This window comes from Homo sapiens, chromosome 11, assembly GCF_000001405.40.
Source record: "Homo sapiens chromosome 11, GRCh38.p14 Primary Assembly".
Lineage (NCBI taxonomy): Eukaryota > Metazoa > Chordata > Mammalia > Primates > Hominidae > Homo > Homo sapiens.
The window spans coordinates 42,214,555-42,236,055 of record NC_000011.10 but is presented as its reverse complement, the minus strand read 5'-3'; the positions used below and the strand labels follow the sequence as shown (position 1 = coordinate 42,236,055).

General features: G+C 36.7%; 1 long non-coding RNA gene across 1 annotated transcript in view, besides 1 other annotated feature; it reads left to right on the top strand.

Annotated features, from left to right (window-relative positions):
* The window catches only part of LINC02740 (long intergenic non-protein coding RNA 2740), a 65,948-nt gene that overhangs the window by 17,635 nt on the left and 26,812 nt on the right, over positions 1–21,501 (top strand). The window lies entirely within an intron of this gene.
* Positions 13,428–13,682: a silencer, noted in NCBI's record as "fragment chr11:42243924-42244178 (GRCh37/hg19 assembly coordinates)". NCBI's record gives its function as "represses an EF-1alpha promoter that drives an FKBP-Casp9 reporter gene in an ReSE screen in phorbol 12-myristate 13-acetate-treated (for megakaryocytic differentiation) K562 erythroleukemia cells {active_cell/tissue: K562(+PMA)}" and the evidence as "EXISTENCE:reporter gene assay evidence [ECO:0000049][PMID:32094911]".

Sequence of the window (21,501 nt, the reverse complement as noted above, 5' to 3'; positions counted from 1 at the left end):
TCTTTGCTATTGTAAATAGTCTTGCAATGAACATATGCATGCATGTGTCTTTATAATAGAATGATTTTTAAAGAATGGGTCTTTGCAGATGCCATTAGGTTAAGCACCTTGAGATACGGCGATTATACTGGATTATCCAGGATGACTTTAAATGCAGTCTTCAATGTGAGAGGAAAATGCAGTGTGACCACACAGGCAGAGATTGCAGTGAAGCAGCCACTGACAAATCCACTGGCAGCCACTAGAAGCTGAAAGAGGCTAGGAAACAGCTTCTCCCCTAGCACCTCTGAAGAAGTACAGTCCTACTAATACCTTGATATGACACATTGAAACTGATTTTGGATTTCTGATGTCCAGAACTATGAAAAAATAAATTTCTGTTGTTGTAAGCCTCTAATTTTATTAGAATGTGTTACATAATTATGTAACAAGTAATTATGTAAACATAATACACAGATTACATATATCTGTTATGTATAAACATAACACAACAACTCTAGGAAACTACTAAAACGGAAGAGAACAACCAGAAAGGGAGACAGAATAGGTGGTAGGCACTAATGCTAAAGGTTCAACTTTCTGTCCATCCAGGGGACTTTATGTAGCAAAGGGACCTTGTCTTAGACAGAATGGTACAAACTTCCTAATTCTTGGTCTTTTTTGAAATTTTCTACTAGTCAAGCAAATATAGCTTTGAGCATAAATATGGGAGAGTTTCTATAAATAAGGTAACAGTTAAAGTACTTTGAGCAATAATGGAACAGTGGGCTACTATTCTTATGTCGCCTTCCTAAATTTGGGAGCCTTTTGTTTTTGTTGTTCTTGTTTTTATTTTAATGACGAGTTCATTGATATACAAAAGATTTGTTGACTAGGAAGCAGCTGAAAAAAAAAAAGTAACTTTATGGAGGCTTTCCTAGTGGTCTCTGGCATTTCCCAGGTTAGATGAATAGGATTTCTGAAGGTGAAGCCTGCTCAAATGTGCCCGGTTCTTTTATGCCCTGGCTTTTTTCCTCCATGCTGCTACTCTTGGCTCTCAAGTCTGCGGTTGGCTACTCCTACTCACTCTTTCTGACTCAGTTTAAAACTTGCCTCTTCATATTGGCCACCCAATCTAAATTAGGACTTTCTTATTCAACTCTGTCACTGAACTATGTTCTACTCCTTCAGCATTAGAACAAAGGACTGCGTGCATTTATAGATAAGACTATTTGCTTGTTGTCTGTCCTCCCTCTACTCTGCATTTTATGACTCATCCCTCTCCAGTGCATCAGTAGAAGTCATTGGTGATGGGATTTGTCTGGTGCTTTGGAATCCCAGTGATTTGTAAAGGAGAGCCAAGTTTTTCATACACTCAGAAGTAAGCCTTCACATTTTTATTTATTATCTTTCAACATAACTCATTTATAGTCTAGCTTATTATGGAAATAGAATAAGATATTTTGGAAGGCAGTGACTATAATTTCATCCACCTATTAGAACCACTCTCTTCAGCCCTCAGGCTGCTGGGTTACAGCAGACAGCTCATGGTCTTTATGACAGGAGTTCCCTATGACTTATCCTTTCAAGCCTTACCCCAAGGCAATCACCCAAAAATCTCTGTTTTGTACCCAACTTTTAATTGGAAATGCTCTGTGAAGTCATATTATCTGCAAAAATGTTCCCTGCCCACAATAAAGACTGCTTTCTACATTGCTAAGCAAGAGTCTTTAGCATTTTTGGTGCCTAAAAAAGTGGCTGGCACAGATAAGGAGATCTGTAAATGACTACGAAAAAAGAAAATCAGCTCTCACGTTTATATAGAACTTCCCAGTTTGCAAAGGACTTCTAAAATCCTTTGCTCACGTAAACCTTAGAAGAGGCTGGGCATGAGCTTTATTCCTTCCTTTGGTTTGTGAGACATTTATTCTCTTGCCCTCCTGGCACTTAAATGTGCTGTCTGGTTGCTCTCCTCCTCTTTTCCTGTAGATAACCTTGCACTCTAGCTTGTGGGATACATGTCAGTTTCATAGTCTCTTAAAGTTAGAAGGACACTTAAAATTAGGGCAACTGCTTCGTTTTACACAAAAAGAGGGTAGGTGGCTGGAGAAGAAGAGTTAGTTAATGGCAAAAACAAAACTGGAGACAGTCTTTTATCTTATGCTGCCCCTCTAAAATCTTTTTATCCCCATAACAATATCCCATAGATATTTATCAGTAAGTACTGTTGAAGACAACATGCCTTTCATCCAGCTGGGTCCCAGACTTCAAAAACCAAGTGATTCTCAAATTCAGGCCCTTTTAACCTGATCATTCCATCTCTCCAACCTATTATCTTAGATGTTTATATCTGCCTTCTTATAAACTCCTCTTCTCTTCCCAGGTAACTTCTAAAATTTTTGAGGTTGTACTCATAATTAATGATTGGTTTTCATTATTATTTCCAGAGAATGAGTCCAAAGGGATATATTAGGGGTGGTGAGGGGAAAAGAGGACACAGCCTAGCTAGTACAATCAATATAAATTGTGACAGCTACTGATATGGCCAATGTCTCAATCATATCATGCACATTCTGCTGCTGCTGGGGATGAAGACACCTAACTAAAATATATGATCTTTGTTGAAAAATACCTTCTAATTTACAAAATGAATGACTTTCCCTTGCTATTGGAATATGACCTGTTATGATATATCTGACTGAGCCACAGCTTCCCAAGCTGGAAACTGGAGAAAATTTAGCAAAGGTTTTTCTAAACCTAGAGAGTAATAAAAGGATGGTTATTGGGTTTGAGGAAGTCTACCTAAGTGTGGTTAAAGTAAACCATATTACTACTTCCTAAGGCAAAAGACTGGTCTAAAGATAAAAATTAAAATTAAATGCGAACTTTTTGTCTCCTTTTGAACCTATCAATTTATTTGACCTGTATCTCTCATTTTCTTTACCCATAAAATGCTGAATAATAACTATCTTGAAAAGCTGCTGAGAGGATTAAATGAGATGAATAAAAACATTGTAGCATGATGTACACAGTATAATGAATGATTAAGAAAAGCGGCTCAGCCTCCCTTGCCCTAGTACATTTCCTATGCTTCCTCTTTCTCCCTTCTGTGATTGTATTAAAATGGTCTGGAAAACGGTAATGTATCTGCCTGGGGAGGACTCCCAGCATGACTGCTGGGATGCAGAAAGAATCAGAATCACTAAAGCAACACACATATAGCCGAGGGAGGCAGAAGGCAAAGGCTTCTTTGCAGGCTTTAGGCTTCTGTTTAAAGTTGCAAAGACAGCCATTCCCCAGTGAACCCTCAAGCCAGGAAACTAGGGGATGCTCTGCGAAGTGATTTTCTCTCATGCCTGCTCTAATGTATTGATGCCTTCTCAATACCTAGATCACGTAGTCTCAGCAGGTGAACAGGAATTTTCATGTATTTCAACCACAGGAATAAATGGATATCCAAAACTCACTCAATGTGTAAGGAAGAGCAACACCAAAGAAAAAACACACAACAACCAGAAGTAATGTTCAAGGTAGCCTTAAATAAATGATGGAAAACTTTACCTTTAATTAAATTATTTATCCCTAGAAGGACTCAAGGCATATGAAACAATAACAGATTTCTATGAATAAGAAATAGTCGAAATATTGTAAATTAAAAATAAGGACGTCAAAGTTTAAAAGACTTTAGTGCTCTTCTTTGGTGAAGAGCACTAAAAAATGATAAATTGTTGCTGAGACCATTTGAAGAATGACTAGAACATAGAAAGCAGAAGGGATCTGGCTAATGGAGCAACAGAGATGTGCAGACAACTCACATCTTGTATCATGTCTGGGACAAGATGACTTGGAGATAAAAGCAGCTTCCCCTGGGTTCCCCTTAGAGAACCATGGAGACACTTAAGTGCAAATTTACTGCGAGAAACAAGCTTTCTACGCAGAATGTAAAGCTCTCTAGTGGGTCACACCTAGAGTTGATATTGAAACTAGAGAGACCAACTACCCAGCCTAAGGCAACCCCTGGACACTCAAAACAAAACCAGCAAAGGAAGGAAAATGGGAATTGGTCAGCTGACCCTGGACTAACTTGGTTAAGTGTCTCTAAAGTGAGAGAGTCCTGAACAACTTTGGAGTAGATTTAGGTGACGATTTCAATAACACCAGAAAATTGGCATATTAATGCATTTTAAACACCTCTCTCCTTTCCTTAAAATAATTGGGCATCAACAGGGCCACATGTAGAAACAAATACAAACAAATTACAAAATATAGTAGTTACATATGCCACATAATTTCATTGGAAGGTTATGAAAGAAAATAGCCAAAAAGTTCTGCCAATTTGACAACAAGTTGCCAGTCATTGCTGGTGGTGGTAAAAATTAGTGGTGGCCCTATTCTGAGGATCAACCAAAAAGGCACAGTATGCATGAAATCAAAGACACATACAAAGAATGTGCCTTACAGTAATATTGCAAATAGCTTATTGACTATCATTAGGGAATTGTTAAAGTGACAATAAACAAGTAAACATATGCAGCAGGGGTGGCGTTTCTAATTAGTTAAGTCCAGTTGTTTCTTGGCTATGGAACAATATTCTATATTTGCCCCCTCTTTTCCGACTCCAAGGAGTACAAGTTTGCCATCCTTCCATTTAGAGGGGCTTACAGTTGTCCAGAGTGTTGAAGACTTTTTCACAGGGGAGGATATATGAGCAATTCACAATTCATTTTCTTTCTAATCATCTGAATCTTTCCTGCTGGCTCTTGGGTCTGTGACCTCTCCAGTGTTTTTCTCAGCAGACATAAGGGGAGAAGAAAAGGGGCCTTCAAGATACCACTGAAAGATCTGAAGGAAGAAAATTACACAAAAAATGCATGGATCAATAGTTCAAAGTATAGCTTAGCCATGATATTAAATACAGATATAATATGAGAAAGTGGTAATTGTCCATTTTGTTTTTTAAGAAATTATTGCCGATATCTATAAATGCTGCTGAGACTTACGTTTGTATTCTCTAACCAGCCACTTTAATGAATTGCCATTAATAGGAAATTTCTTGGATCTCAGTGTACAAACACTTCAATCTGCAAATAGAGCTTTATCAATTTCCTTCTTTCCAATGTCTCTTAAATTGTGGCTATTCTTCTTTACCATGTAATGTAAAAATCCTACAGTTTCACAACTCAGTACAATTTTGGATTTTCACTCATAACCTCTTTTCTTTCCTGAAACCTCTCACAGACCCCTTACCCACTTGTTCTTAGCTGACGACCTTCCTTCCTGTTACTTTGAAAAAATAGAGACCATCTGACTGGTGTTCCCTTGTTTTACCTTCATCACATCTACAAATGCACCTACATCTTTATCCATATTTTCTCATTAAAATGACAGAACCCTGCTCCTCTCTACCAATAAATCCATTAGTATACTGGATCCCAGTGTATTTTCTTTGAGCAAGTAATTTGCCTCTGCAGAAAACTTATTTATTCATTTTCTCTTTTACTGTTTTATTCTCCTTGCCCTCCTCTCTCTCCATAAATTACCACCACCGACAAAACAACATGGTCTAGTATCATTCCTGTTGAAAACAAAGCAAAACCTCATTTGAGAACATATCTTGCCTTAAGTTTTGCCTTTTTTCTGCCCTTTTCTGCCTCTTTAACCCATTTCATTCTGGCTCCCTCTCCCACTATTCTGCCAAACTCATGTCACAGTCACCAATGACCTGGATGTTATCAAGACTAAGGAACAATCCTGAGTCTTAGACTTACTTAACACATCAGCATATTCAGCATGCTTTGCCTTTTTGAAACAATTTTCATTTTGGTTTTATTAACCCTGTTGTTGCAACTTTTACTTTCGTTTACTCCATCTTCCCTACTCAATCTCTTGTGTTTAGAACACCGGGGCCAAGTTTGGGATCCTCCTCCTCCCCTTTCTCTGTCATATCTATTTGGCTGTTCAAATTGTTTCCCATGGTTTTAAATACTACTTATTTTTGGCTGGGCACACTGGCTCATGCCTGTAATCCCAACACTTTGGGAGGCTGAGGTGGGTGGATCACCTGAGGTCAGGAGTTTGAGAACAACCTGGTTAACATGGCAAAACCCCATCTCTACGAAAAATACAAATAAAATTAGCTGGCCATGGTGGCATGCACCTGTAATCCTAGCTACTAGGGATGAGCTGAGATGATGCCATTGCACTTCAGCCTGGGAGACAGAGCAAGACTCTGTCTCAAAAACAAAAAAAAAATACTAATTTTTTAGTGACCCCCAAATGCCTTACCTCATGTTATGACTTCTCCCCTGAGCTTGCATATTCATGTTCATGTATGCAACTGTCTCCCTGCTGTTACTGAAACTTTGATCTGTGGCCCCTGCTTCTCCTAAAAATCACTCTCTGTCTTGCATATCACCAAACAATATCATTATTTCTCCAGTTGCTTAAGCCAATAATGTAATAGAGTCTTGATGCTTTCCTTCCACACAATTTGCAAGCTCTATCAGTTCTGTCTTCAAAATATCTCAAATCTATCCACTTTCCCCCAACTCCATCTCCACTCTCCACACCAAGGCACAACCATGTTAAGCATAAGCTACTATAGCACTGATTTCTAAATACTGATTTCTCTGCTCCTACTGTTGCCTCTGCTCAATTCCATTTGTCACACAGCAGGGGACTCTTTTAAAAATGGAAATCGTATTCTGCCATCTTCCCACTTAAACCTTAACACTGCTTTCCACTGCACTTAGAATAAAATCCAATCTCTCATCAATACTTGGTGTCTGTTTGCCCCTCTGGTCTTATTGTGCTTTGCCTTTCCTTCGCTCACACACTCAACTACTCTGTTTCCTTTGTTGTGGTTCTAAGCTCTTTTCAGCTTTAATATCTTAGCTTTCATCAATTCCCCTAATGCTTATCTCCAGGCTCTCCTTGCGGCTGGATGTTCTTTATTCCTCAGGTTTTAGCTAAAATGCCACTTTGTTAAGGCTCATTCCTTGACCACTCTATCTAAGAGCTTTCTTTCCCCTCATGTTTTTAATCATTTTGTGTATTTATTTTCTCTACTCTACAAGCACATCTAGAATGTAAGCTCCCTAAAAGTAGGGACTTCTATGTTTTCTAAAACTCGCTATATTTTGACCACACATATAGTAAATAAAATAGTACAGATATTAACATATTTGTTGAATTGGTAAACACATTTTAAAAGATTATTTTTACATGTTTAAAAAATACCCCACTATTTATTATTCTTGTATGTATCTTTTATTTAAAATAATTTTTGAGCTTTAAAAAATACCTTTCTGGAAGAAATTGAGATATGATTAAGTTCTTTAATTCTTGGCACCTACCAACCACATTATGTCTTGATAAACAGATTTCTTGATATCAAACCATCCTTCATTCTCAGCTTCTACATTATTTGTTTAGGTTGTGTTAATGTTTTAATTCTTTGTGGTGTTCTTTTGGTGATACTCTACTTAAGGTTTTCATATAGAGACAATGAGATTATTTATAGCCAATAATTTATAGCTTCTTATAGTTATCTTATCTCTAGAGCAGCAGTTCTCCACTGGGTGAAATTTTGTCTCCCAGGTGACATTTGATAATGTTTAGAAAAATTTGTATGCTGTCCTAAACTAGGGGAGAGAGGTGTTACTAGCATCCAGTAGGTAGAGGCCAGAGATGCTGCTAAACATCTCACAATGCACAGGACAAATGCCCATAATGTAAAATTATCTGGCCCTAAATGTCATTAGAGCTATGGTTGAGAAACCCTTCTCTAGATGTTATTATATCTCCAAACTTTGCCCTCTACATCTATGTGGGGTGTAAAAGCCTCCAGCCCTGGCAGACACCCAGGTTTGGCCCAAAAAGAGCTGTTCTTGACAGAAACATCAACTGGGAAATATAGCAATAAATTAAAGCCCTCCAGGCAGAGATTAATGTGACTTCAGATCTCCAGGTCTGCATTTGAGCCAACTGAATACAGTTTGTATATCTACATCCAGGATATACAGTTTCTTTTTAGTACGTCCCATGCCTGTTAAAATAACCTAGGAGAGATACTGCTGAAGGCTTTAGTTTCTGATTAGTTTCTCATCTTTTCTTCCCCAATCTTTTCTGCTTGAAAATCTTAATTTCAAGGAAAATCTTAATTTCTAGGCAATGCAGCACATAAAATACTAATATAGTTCTAGCATATTAAATCCATCCTATCCATTTGCTTTGGTTAGCTATTTATTTTATAATTAAGTTTTGTTGTAATATCTTTAAAAATATTGATTAATTTATATCAAAATCGCTCTGAAGAGATACTACCATAGTATCAATTTAACCTGTGAAGAACCTGCGACAAAAGAGCTAAGGTGATTTGCCTAAAGTCTTACAACTTAGTAGACCACCAGTGCAATGTGGTTCAAGATTTTATACTTCTCATCACTCTGCTATCTTACCATTCTAAGAAAAAAAACTAATTAAGCTAATAGAATAAAAACTAAACTTATTAACATGGGCGTTTAGGAGGAGAAATTGTTTGGTTATGATTGCTTTGTTGTTCTGTGTATTTTCCTCATATTCAAATACTCATTTGAAAAAAATGTGCCAAGTACTTAATGTTTTAGAAAGATAAAACAATCAGGGGTAAAAAATTAAAAATTTTAAAAATCTACTCATTCACTCAATGTTTAAATGTAAAACATGAATAAATATTGCTTTTTTTTTCAAAGCAGCTCAGCTGCAGAGCCACTGTTATAAGTACTCAGAAAGCCAATAAGAGCTACTATTTACCATTTGAAGATTCTGGTATCTGTCAGCTCTTATGCCTGCCAACTACACTATATGCATTCATTTAAATTGCACATGCAGTCCTAAATATTTGAGAAATCATTTTTATGTCCAGTTTAGAGACAAGGAATCTGAGACTATAAGAGGTAAATTGACTTGCCCACAGTTCTGCAGCTAACAAGTGGTCAAGCAGGATATAGTCCCGGTGTTCCCATCCCTTGCAAAGCCCCTCATGCTTTTCGTAACAGCAGCCTTTATAAAAATTTTGTATTTGAGACATGGTTTTTGGCAACTAAACTTAACACTGCTAAGGTATGAGATTTTTTCCCCCCAGGAACACTGAACACTGAACAAACAGGAAAGATACTTTGAGTAAGGGCGATTCTAATGAGGGATATTCACAAACAACAATGTAAATGAGCTTGAGTTAGGGATGAGTTTTATTAGAGGAAGACCATATTCTAAAAGCATCCTCTCCTGGAGTAATTGCAAGACCTTTATGTATTTCATTATCCATTCCTGGGATTGAATGGAGCCAGTATAAAGTCTTAATTTTATACAATTACTGGCAGTATTCATTTAGCATCCTACTAAAGGGGAGCAAAATTCATTACTGAGTGACCCCACATTTTTTTAAAGGCAAACAAGTGGTAGTACTGATCTCTAATGGTGCTTGGTATCAGTTTTGCAAGCCTAGTTTTGATTTCAGATGCTTTGATATCTGTTAATGATCATTTTTTTTTTAAAGGTAATGATTCAAAGATTTAAATGCTAAACTTCTGGGACTTCGGGACTTACTATAAAACTAGATAAGATCAACAACAACAAAAACAATGCTTTCTATTGAAATTTGTACAGTTTTGCAAGTTCATTTCTGCTCTTCGTCTGTTGAAGCATCAATAAAGTCCAAGAAAAATACTGGGAATCAGATTCATGCCCAAAGTGACCCTGTGGCAGTTGAGGATTGACTGGGCTAGAAGACCAAAGTTTAAAGCGCAAGTTAATCTGAGACAGAGAAATGAAAGAGAAGATGAGAAAGAAAAGTGGCCTCAAAATAAGAGGAACTAGGGTCCTGGCTCAGAGGCTCATGCCTGTAATTCCATCACTTTGGGAGGCCGAGGTGGGCAGATCACCCGAGGTCAGGAGTTCCAGACCAGCCTGGCCAACATGGTGAAACCCCGTATCTACTAAAAATACAAAAATTAGCTGGGCATGGGGGCGCCTTAATCCCAGCTACTTGGGAGTCAGAGACAGGAGAATCATTTGAATCTGGAGGTGGAAGTTGCAGTGAGCCAAGATCCCAGCCATTGCACTCAAGCCTGGGGGACAAGAGCAAGACTTATCTCAAAAAAAAAAAAAAAAAAGGAACTAGGACACAAGCAAGAACAGAAGTAGGATATGCAAATGCTTTCTTTGAAAGCTGGGGGCAGGTGAATGGCTTTCCTGTACTGCTATAAAGGTACAAAATGGAGGCAGGCACTCTTTAGAGAGGTTTAGTTTGAAAATAAGATTTTCAAACTTTACCCCCAATGAAGTACAACTAGCCTTAAATTCCACCCCACCCACCACCTCCACAAAAAAAGAAAAAATAAAAAGAAAATATCTATCAAAAAGCATTAGTCATGGAAAGGACTTAATCTTGAAAATGAAAGCAACAAAGTTGTTAAATGTAGACAGACACTAAGCTGCTTACAACAATATTTGCTTACATTATAGCATCTAATATAAGATGTTATTTGCTCATTGTTTATTATGTACTCCATGCTCTCACAAGAAGCTTAGCTTTGATTTTTTTCTTAATTTTGGTGGCTTAAATTTGAAAATTTAACTTTGCATTAAAGGAGGGTTTTTATTTAATTAAAGAATGTATTCTGGAGCTTGATTACAAATTAAAATCCAACATTTGCTTAACGTGGATGGGTTTACAATTATAGGAAAAACTTTTTGCACTTCATGATTTAGTGGCTGTTTAACTTTGTACTCAATATAGTAATTAATATATGTTGCTGCATTTAATTTTCTGTTTAATTTTTTAAAATAAAAAGGTAAAGGATGTTTGCTGCTTTTAAGGAGATTTACCTGCATAACTTCATTACTCTGCGTGATCGTATAATGGCCCCATCTGAGTTATCCACCAAACTGATGTTTATACCTACAATGTCATCTGTTCTCTTTCAAAACTAATTGTGTCACACCATTGGTGTTGGTTTATATTATACTTATTTGATAGGCCTAGATTTATTAAATATCTTTTATGACACTTGGGCTAAGTTATGCTTATATAGAAATGTAATATACAAAACTATTGTCCTCAAGGAGATTATCTTAAGTGGGAGAGACAGATAAGTAAAGTAAGTCTTCAAAAAACCATGTAATGTGTTACAAGAAGCCATGGGTTGTATCACAATTAGGTTTTCTCAGTTTGCATTTCTTCATGAGATTTATCAGCCTCTTTTTTTAGATTTATAACATAATTTTTCCACTATTTTTTACTTGCGTTTCCATACCAGTCCATTGTATTACAAAAGCAAAATTGGTTAGCAATTCATGTATCTGTAATTTTATCTAATAACATAATAAAATACAAAAGCATGTGGCCTATAACTAATCCAACGTATTTAAACTCAGCCTGTGGGTTCAAATGTTAAGCCAATGTCTGGATAAAGAGCAAATAGTCGTAGCAACAGATGCTGCCTGGGAAACCTCTGTGTGGCATAATCAGTTCATAAAGTGAGGAAGTCTCTGCAATGGAGAGTGTTTTATTATATACAGCATAAAAATCTGTGAGTAAGAATAAGTTTCTAAAAAATTTTGTTGGTGGGAAGAATGTCCAAAATTTATTCCTTCCTTGGCAAATTAGCACACTGATACATGTATAAACTGTATCAACTGGAATAATACCTGCCTTGTACCTTGCTTCTCACCTAGTCAAGCAATTTTCTCCCTGGAAGTCAGCCAGGAATATGGGAAAAGCTTTGTCTAAATTTCAACCTTAGAGCAGCATACAGAGCATGTAAATGGGCTCTGAACGTTTTAATCCAATACAATGTGCAGTATGTTAATAATGCATAAATCGTTGAACATTTTTCTCAAAACAACAAGAAGAAATAAAATTAAATGCTCTTTGTAGCAAAATCTAAGCCCACAAACATTTTTCACACAAAAAAAATTTTTTTGAAAAACTTAGCAAATGTGTTTTTGCCGGTGGGGTGTAAAGATAAGTATTTGAGGATAGGAATAAGTTCATAATGTTATTATGCCATGTATCAAATATGCTTGTGGTTCTGAATAAAGATATTGCTGGTTGTGCTAGTTATAATAAAAATAATGGAAAGCAGCCTCGATATCTAAAGAGGTAATACTGGCAAGATAAATTAATCAATCACTCAGTGGAATACTATACAGCAATTTTAATTGATATTTTATAGTTTACAGACACATGATAATTTAGAAATGATAAATAAAAAGGAATTAATCAATAGTGTATACATGGTATACTTGCAATCATATAAAAAAGAAAAAATACACGCCTGGCTCAGTGGTTCATGTCTGTAATCCCAGCACTTCAGGAGGCCAAGGCGGGTGGATCACAAGGTCAGCAGTTCAAGACCAGCCTGGCCAAGATGGTGAAACTCCGTATCTACTAAAAATACAAAAATTAGCCAGGTGCAGTGGCAGGCACCTATAATCCCAGCTACTCAGGAGGCTGAGGCAGGAGAATTGCTTGAAGTCGGGGGGCAGAGGTTGCAGTGAGCCAAGACCATGCCACTGCACTCCAGCCTGGGTGACAGAGTCAGATTCAGTCTCAAAATAAATAAATAAATAAATAAATAAAAAACATAAAGAAAAAATATAAAAGGAAAAGAAATAATATGTGAAAATGTAGTATAAAACAAAATATACAAAATATTAACTTGTACACTTATAATGTATTCATCATTTTATTCATTTATCCACTCATTTAGATATTTGTAAAAGGCCTGTATGCTATGGAAAATAGATATTAAAATTACAACAAAAAGAATGAGAGAAATCTTGCAGTTATGAAGCACACTATTAGCTAATTCTAATTATGAATTATAGGTGGATTTTTTTTATTTTTAATTTTCGTGTGTACATAGTATGGGTATATATTTATGGGGTATATGGGATATTTTGATACAGGCATACAATGTGTAATAATCACATCATGGTAAATGGGCAATCCATCACCTCGAGCATTTATCCTTTGTGTTACAAATACTCCAATTATACTCTTTTAGTTAAATTGTACATTTAAATTATTATTTACTGTAATCACCCTGGTGTGCTATTAAATACTAGATCTTATTAGTTTTTTCTAGCTATTATTTGTACCCATTAACAATCTCCACTTCCCCCATCTCCTCACTACCCTTTCCAGCCTCTGGTAACCATCATTCTCCTTTCTATCTCAATGATTTCAATTGTTTTAATTTTTAGCTTCCACAAATAAGTGAGAACATGCAAAGTTGGTCTTTCTGTCCCTGGTTTATTTCACTTAAATAAACCATTCAGTTCCATTTATGTTTTTTTCTAATGAAAGGATCTTCTTCCATCTTTGTGGCTGACTAGTACTCCATTGTGTATATATATCACATTTTCTTTTATTATTATTATTATTATACTTTAAGTTCTGGGATACATGTGCAGAATGTGCATGTTTGTTACATAGGTATACCTGTGCCATGGTGGTTTGCTGCACCCATCAAACCATCATCCACATTAGGTATTTCTCCTAATGCTATCCCTCCACTTGTCCCCCAGCCCCCAACGAGCCCAGGTATGTGATGTTCTCTTCCCTGTGTCCATGTATTCTCATTGTTCAACTCCCACTTATGAGTGAGAGCATGCGGTGTTTGGTTTTCTGTTCCTGTGTTAGTTTGCTGAGAATGATGGTTTCCAGCTTCATCCATGTCCCTGCAAGGACATGAACTCGTTCTTTTTTATGGCTGCGTAGTATTCCATGGTATATATGTGCCACATTTTCTTTATCCAGTCTATCCTTGATGGGCATTTGGGTTGGTTCCAAGTCTTGGTTATTGTGAATATTGCTGCAATAACCATACGTGTGCATGTGTCTTTATAGTAGAATAATTTATAATCCTTTGGGTAAATACCCAGTAATGGGATTGCTGGATCAAATTGTGTTTCTGGTTCTAGATCCTTGAGGAATCACCACACTGTCTTCCATAATGGTTGAACTAATTTACACTCCCACCAACAGTGTAAAAGTGTTCCTATTTCTCCTCATGTTCTCCAGCATATGTTGCTTCCTGACTTTTTCATAATCGCCATTCTAACTGGCGTGAGATGGCATATACCACATTTTATTTATTCATTCGACTATTGACAGACACTTAGGTTACTTCCACATCTTGGCTATTATGAATGGTGCTGCAATAAACACGAGAGGGCAGATATTCCTTTGATATATTGGTTTTCTTTCTTTTGGGTATATACCTAGCAGTGGAATTAACGGATCATTTATTAGCTCAATTTTTAGTTTTTTGAGGAACCTCCAAACGGTTCTCTAAGTGGTTGTGCTGATTTACATTTGAACATCAGTGTATGACGGTTCTTTTTTCTCCACATCCTCACTAGCATTTGTTATTTCCTGTCGTTTAGATAAACAAAAACCATTTTAACTAGGGTGGGATACTATGCCATTTTAGTTTTGATCTGCATTTCTCTAATTATCAAGGATGTGGAGCACCTTTTCATATACCTGTTTGCCATTTGTATGTTTTCATTTGAAAAATATCTATTCGTGTATTTTGCCCATTTTAAAAATCAGAGCATTAGATTTTTTCCTATAGAGTTATTTGTTCGACTTCCATATTCTGATTATTAATATTTTGTCAGAAGGATAGTTTATAAGTATTTTCTCCTATTCTGTGGGTTGTCTCTTCACTCTGTTGATTGTTTCCTTTGCTGTGCAGGCTTTTAACTGGATATGATCTCATTTGTACATTTTTACTTTGGTTGCCTGTGCCTATGGGCTATTACTCAAGAAATTTTCGTCCACTCCAATGTCCTGGATATTTTATCCAATGTTTTCTTGCAGTAGTTTTATATTAGTTGGTGTAAAAGCAATCACAGTTTTTGCAGTTACTTTTAGTGGCAAAAAAAAAAAAAACCCACGCAATTACTTTTGCACCAACTTAATAGTTTGAGGTCTTAGATGTAAGTCTTTAATCCATTTTGATTTGATTTTTATATATGGCAAGAGATAGGGTTCTAGTTTTATTCTTCTGCTTATGCGTATCCAGTTTTCCCTGCCTCATTAATTGAAAGGGACGGTCCTTTCCCCAATGTATGTTCTTGGCACCTTTGTTGAAATTGAATTCACTGTAGATCTAGGGTTTTGTTTCTGGGTTCTCTATTCTGTTCCATGGCTCTGTGTATCTGTTTTTATGCCAGTTTTTATGCTGTTTTGGTTTCTGTAGCTCTGTAGTATAATTAGAAGTCAGGTAATGTGATTCCTCCAGTTTTGTTGTTTTTGCTTAGGATAGTTTTGGCTATTCTGGATCTTTTGTGGTTCCATATAACTTTTAGAATTTTTTTTTCTGTGAAGAATGTCATTTGTATTTTGATAGGGATTTAACTTTGGGTAGTATGGGTGTTTTAACAATATTGATTATTCCAATCCATAAACATGCAGTATCTTTCCAATTTTTGTGCCCTCTTCAAATGCTTGCATCAGTGTTTTACAGTTTTCATTGTAGAGATTTTTCATTACATTGGTTAATTTAATTCTTAGGTATTTAATTTTATTTGATTCTAAAAGTTTATAAAATTCTATATGTTATATGGAACCACAAAAGATCCAGAATAGATCCAAATAGAACTCCTGACCTATTTATTTTATTTTATTTTGAGACAGAGTCTCACTGCGTCACCCAGGCTGGAATGCAGTGGCATGATCATGGCTCACTGCAGCCTCAACCTCATGGGCTCAAGGGATCCTTCAGCTTCAGCCTCCTGAGTAGCTGGGACTACTATTGTAAATTACATTACATTCTTGATTTATTTTTCAGATTATTCACTGTTGGCATGTAGAAATACTACTGCTTTTTGTATGTCAGTTTTATATCCTGCAACTTTACAGAATTTGTTCTAACAGTTCAGTTCTAGTAGTTTTTTGGTGGAGTCTTTGGTTTTTCAAAATGTAAGATTATATCATCTGCAAACAAGGATGATTTGACCTCTTCCTTTACAATTTGAATGTCTTTTATTTTTTTCTCTTGTCTGATTTCTGTAGCAAGGACTTTCAGTATTATGTTGAATAACAGTGGTGGAAGTGGGCAGCCTTATTGTGTTCCAGATCTTAGAAGAAAGACTTTTAGTTTTTCCCCATTCAGTATGATACTAGCTGTGGATCTGTCATATATGGCTTTTATTGTGTTAAGGTATGTTCCTCCTATACCCAGTTTTTGGGGAATTTATAATAATAAAATGATATTGAATTTTATCAAATGCTTTTTCAGCAACAATTGAAATAATCATATGGTTTTTGTCCTTCATTAAGTTGATATGATGTATCACCTTGGTTGATTTACATATGTCAAACCATCCTTGCATCCCTGGGATAAATCCCACTTGGTCATGATGAATGACCTTCTTAATGTGTTGTTGCATTTGTCTTGCTAGTATTATATTGAGGATTTTTGCATCAATAATCATCAGATATTGAACCGTAGTTTTTTTTTTTTTGATGTGTCTTTGTCTGGTTTTGGTATCAGGGTGGGACTTGTCTGATATAATGAGTTTGGAAGTATTCTTTCTGCCTCGTTTTTCAGAATAGTTTGAGTAGGATTTGTATTAGTTCTTCATTAAATATTTGAAAAATTCAGCAGTGAATCCTTCAGTTCCTGGTCTTTTCTTTGAGAGGAGACTTTTTATTTTGGCTTCTATTTTGTTACATGTTATTGGTCTTTTCAGATTTTGGATTTCTTCATGATTCAATATTGGTAGGTTGTATGTGTCTAGGAATTTATCCACTCCTTCTAGATTTTCCAACTTATTGGCATATAGGTGCTCATAATAATCTCTAATGATCCTTTGTACATATGTAGTATCAGTTGTAATGTTTTATTTCATGTCTGATTTTATTTATTTGGGTCTTCTGGCTTCTTTTTTTAGGTAGTCTGGCTTTATTTATCTTTTCAAAAGACCAGCTTTTTGATTCCTTGATCATTTGTATTGTTTCCTTCATTTCAATTTCACTTATTTCTCTTCTGGTCTTTATTATTTCTTTTCTACTAACTTTGTGTTTGCTATACTCCCACTTTTCCAGTTATTTATGAGGCATTGTTAGGTTGTTTATTTGAAGTTTTTCTTCTTGTTTGAAGTAGGCACTTATAGCTATAAACTTCTTTCTTGGTACCCTTTTCATTGTATTCCATAGGTTTTGGTATGTTGTGTTTCCATTAACATTGGTTTCAATAAATTTTAAAGTTTTCTTCTTAATTTCTTCATTGATCCTCTGGTCATTCTGGACCATACTGGTTAATTTCCAAGTGTTTGTATAGTTTCTAAAATTCCTCTTATTGATTTCTAGTTTTATTCCATTGTCATTAGAGAAGACACTTGATGATTTTTTTTTTTTTTGAGACAGAGTCTTGCTCTGTTGCCCAGGCTGGAGTGCAGTGACATGATCTCAGCTCACTGCAACCTCTGCCTCTGGGGTGCAAGCAATTCTCCTGTCTCAGCCTCCTGAATATCTGGGGCTACGCCACCATGCCCAGCTAATTTTTGTATTTTTAGTAGAGACGAGGTTTCACTATATCGATCAGGCTGGTCTTGAACTCCTGACCTATTTATTTTATTTTATTTTGAGACAGAGTCTCACTGTGTCACCCAGGCTGGAATGCAGTGGCATGATCATGGCTCACTGCAGCCTCAACCTCATGGGCTCAAGGGATCCTTCAGCTCCAGCCTCCTAAGTAGCTGGGACTACAGGCATTCACCAGTATGCCCAGCTAACCTTTTTATTTTTAGTAGAGAGGAGGTCTCACTATATTGCCCAGGCTGGTTTCAAACTCCTGGGCTCACGCAATCTTTTGTCAATTTTAATCTAGAGGAAAGTCTATGGCAACATCTAATAACATGAAATGGATACAAGGTGATTGCAAATCTTTAGATTATGTCTTATGGAATACATATTAGAAATTAAAAATCCAAAGTGATAATAGATATTTATCCATACATACCATTCTGGTTGACACATATTTTGTTTAAATGATGCCAAACCCACTGTAAAAGGCACTAGCCATCAGCCAATGTTAAAATACAGTTTCATCAATTTTTTTCTGGTGAATCCACATTTTTTTTTAATCATATGTTGAACAGTAGGGTTTTTTTTTGTGTTTTTTTGTTTCTGTTTTTGTTTTTTTACCATTTCATGATCCTGTATCTTAGTCCACTTCTATCCCCCATTCTAGTCATGTATAAAGAATTCTGGGGCACCTGCTAATGACTATGACACCTGATTATGCACCTTTACTGTAAATACCTTCAGCCTAGGAACACTGGACCCCCTCTGAGAGAACAGCCACAGGCTTTACCTCATTTGCAGGGAAGTTTGAAAATCATCTTTATTTACTTTCCAGGCAAAAATGACGAACGTTTTAAAGCGCCATCAGGATCCCCAATTACCTTCCTGCCACCTTCCTTTCCTTGTGTCCAGGAACCTAACATTTATTTCCTCTTACCCTCATGTTTCCCAAGTTTAAACCTCAGTTTTCCAGACACTAGTTCTTAGGCTACAATTCTAGGACCCAAATCGTAACACTTGTTCCTCATAAAATATGAGCTATAGGAGTATCTCAGGGCTCCACTTTCTGTCTTCACCTAGAACTTCTCTGCATATCACTTCTTCTTTTTCTGGGCCGTCTTGCGTGCTCAAATTCCCATTCTGGTAAGCTCTTCTGAAGTCTACATTGCATATGTTAAGAGGCTAACTGCACAGCTCAAAGACAATTTAAAAAAATTTAAAAACAGGATTCTTTCCCTTTCCACCATGCTAACTCTATGTTCTACAATGTGGCTAGTCCAGTCCTACATTCTGTCTAGTTTATTCCCTTCTACATTCAGAGAGGGATATTTGATAGCCTTTGACAGCATGAGAATGGCAAAAGTGAAGTAATTTCTGTGGCAACAAGGAGATTCAGCTAAATAAAGGTGGGCACCTTTATTTTTGTTTTGCTATGCTATTTTTGGCTAGTAACAACAAACTACTGGGAGGAGGGAAGGCTTCAGTGCCTTAAGTGTCTTGGCTCATTGGTTTCCTTAGGTACCCAGAAACCTAGGAGAAGTGTGCTCTGACTTCACAGTGTCAGCCCTCTACTTTTCTGGACAGACAGTGGTTTCATGGGACCTGTTTTCCTCTTCAATTCTTTTTTTTTTTTTTTTAATTTTTTTTTTTTATTATACTCTAAGTTTTAGGGTACATGTGCACATTGTGCAGGTTAGTTACATATGTATACATGTGCCATGCTGGTGCGCTGCACCCACTAACTCGTCATCTAGCATTAGGTATATCTCCCAATGCTATCCCTCCCCCCTCCCCTGACCCCACCACAGTCCCCAGAGTGTGATATTCCCCTTCCTGTGTCCATGTGATCTCATTGTTCAATTCCCACCTATGAGTGAGAATATGCGGTGTTTGGTTTTTTGTTCTTGCGATAGTTTACTGAGAATGATGGTTTCCAATTTCATCCATGTCCCTACAAAGGACATGAACTCATCATTTTTTATGGCTGCATAGTATTCCATTGTGTATATGTGCCACATTTTCTTAATCCAGTCTATCATTGTTGGACATTTGGGTTGGTTCCAAGTCTTTGCTATTGTGAATAGTGCCGCAATAAACATACGTGTGCATGTGTCTTTATAACAGCATGATTTATGGTCCTTTGGGTATATACCCAGTAATGGGATGGCTGGGTCAAATGGTATTTCTAGTTCTAGATCCCTGAGGAATCGCCACACTGACTTCCACAATGGTTGAACTAGTTTACAGTCCCACCAACAGTGTAAAAGTGTTCCTATTTCTCCACATCCTCTCCAGCACCTGTTGTTTCCTGACTTTTTAATGATTGCCATTCTAACTGGTGTGAGATGGTATCTCATTGTGGTTTTGATTTGCATTCTCTGATGGCCAGTGATGATGAGCATTTTTTCATGTGTTTTTTGAACTAGTTTTCAGTCCCATCAACAGTGTAAAAGTGTTCCTATTTCTCCACATCCTCTCCAGCACCTGTTGTTTCCTGACTTTTTAATGATTGCCATTCTAACTGGTGTGAGATGATATCTCATTGTGGTTTTGATTTGCATTTCCCTGATGGCCAGTGATGATGAGCATTTCTTCATGTGTTTTTTGGCTGCATAAATGTCTTCTTTTGAGAAGTGTCTGTTCATGTCCTTCGCCCACTTTTTGATGGGGTTGTTTGTTTTTTTCTTGTAAATTTGTTTGAGTTCATTGTAGATTCTGGATATTAGCCCTTTGTCAGATGAGTACGTTGCGAAAATTTTCTCCCATGTTGTAGGTTGCCTGTTCACTCTGATGGTAGTTTCTTTTGCTGTGCAGAAGCTCTTTAGTTTAATTAGATCCCATTTGTCAATTTTGGCTTTTGTTGCCATTGCTTTTGGTGTTTTGGACATGAAGTCCTTGCCCACGCCTATGTCCTGAATGGTAATGCCTAGGTTTTCTTCTAGGGTTTTTATGGTTTTAGGTCTAACGTTTAAATCTTTAATCCATCTTGAATTGATTTTTGTATAAGGTGTAAGGAAGGGATCCAGTTTCAGCTTTCTACATATGGCTAGCCAGTTTTCCCAGCACCATTTGTTAAATAGGGAATCCTTTCCCCATTGCTTGTTTTTGTCAGGTTTGTCAAAGATCAGATAGTTGTAGATATGCGGCATTATTTCTGAGGGCTCTGTTCTGTTCCATTGATCTATATCTCTGTTTTGGTACCAGTACCATGCTGTTTTGGTTACTGTAGCCTTGTAGTATAGTTTGAAGTCAGGTAGTGTGATGCCTCCAGCTTTGTTCTTTTGGCTTAGGATTGACTTGGCGATGCGGGCTCTTTTTTGGTTCCATATGAACTTTAAAGTAGTTTTTTCCAATTCTGTGAAGAAAGTCATTGGTAGCTTGATGGGGATGGCATTGAATCTGTAAATTACCTTGGGCAGTATGGCCATTTTCACGATATTGATTCTTCCTACCCATGAGCATGGAATGTTCTTCCATTTGTTTGTATCCTCTTTTATTTTCAGGGATCAAGAAGCAACAGGACTGCGGGATGGGATAGAAAATAATTTTCATCTTAGCAATATTGAGTATTCCAGTACATGAGTATTGTATGTTTCTCAATTCACTTAGATCCTTAATTTCCCTTAGTCATGTTTTGTGATTTTCAGTATACAAATCTTGTACTCTGTATTAAACCATTCTTGCATTGCTGTAAAGAAATATCTGAGACTGAGTAATTTATAAAGAAAAGAGGTTTAATTGGATCACAATTCTGTAGATTTCACAGGAAGAATGGTGCTGGCATCTGCTCAGCTTCTAGGGAGCCTCAGGAAGCTTAAAATTAGGCAGAAAGGAAAGGGGGTGCAGGCCTGTCACATGGTGAAAGCAGGGGCAAGTGAGAGAGGGTGAGGAGGGGGAGTTGCCACACACTTTTAAGCAACCAGATCTCATGTGAA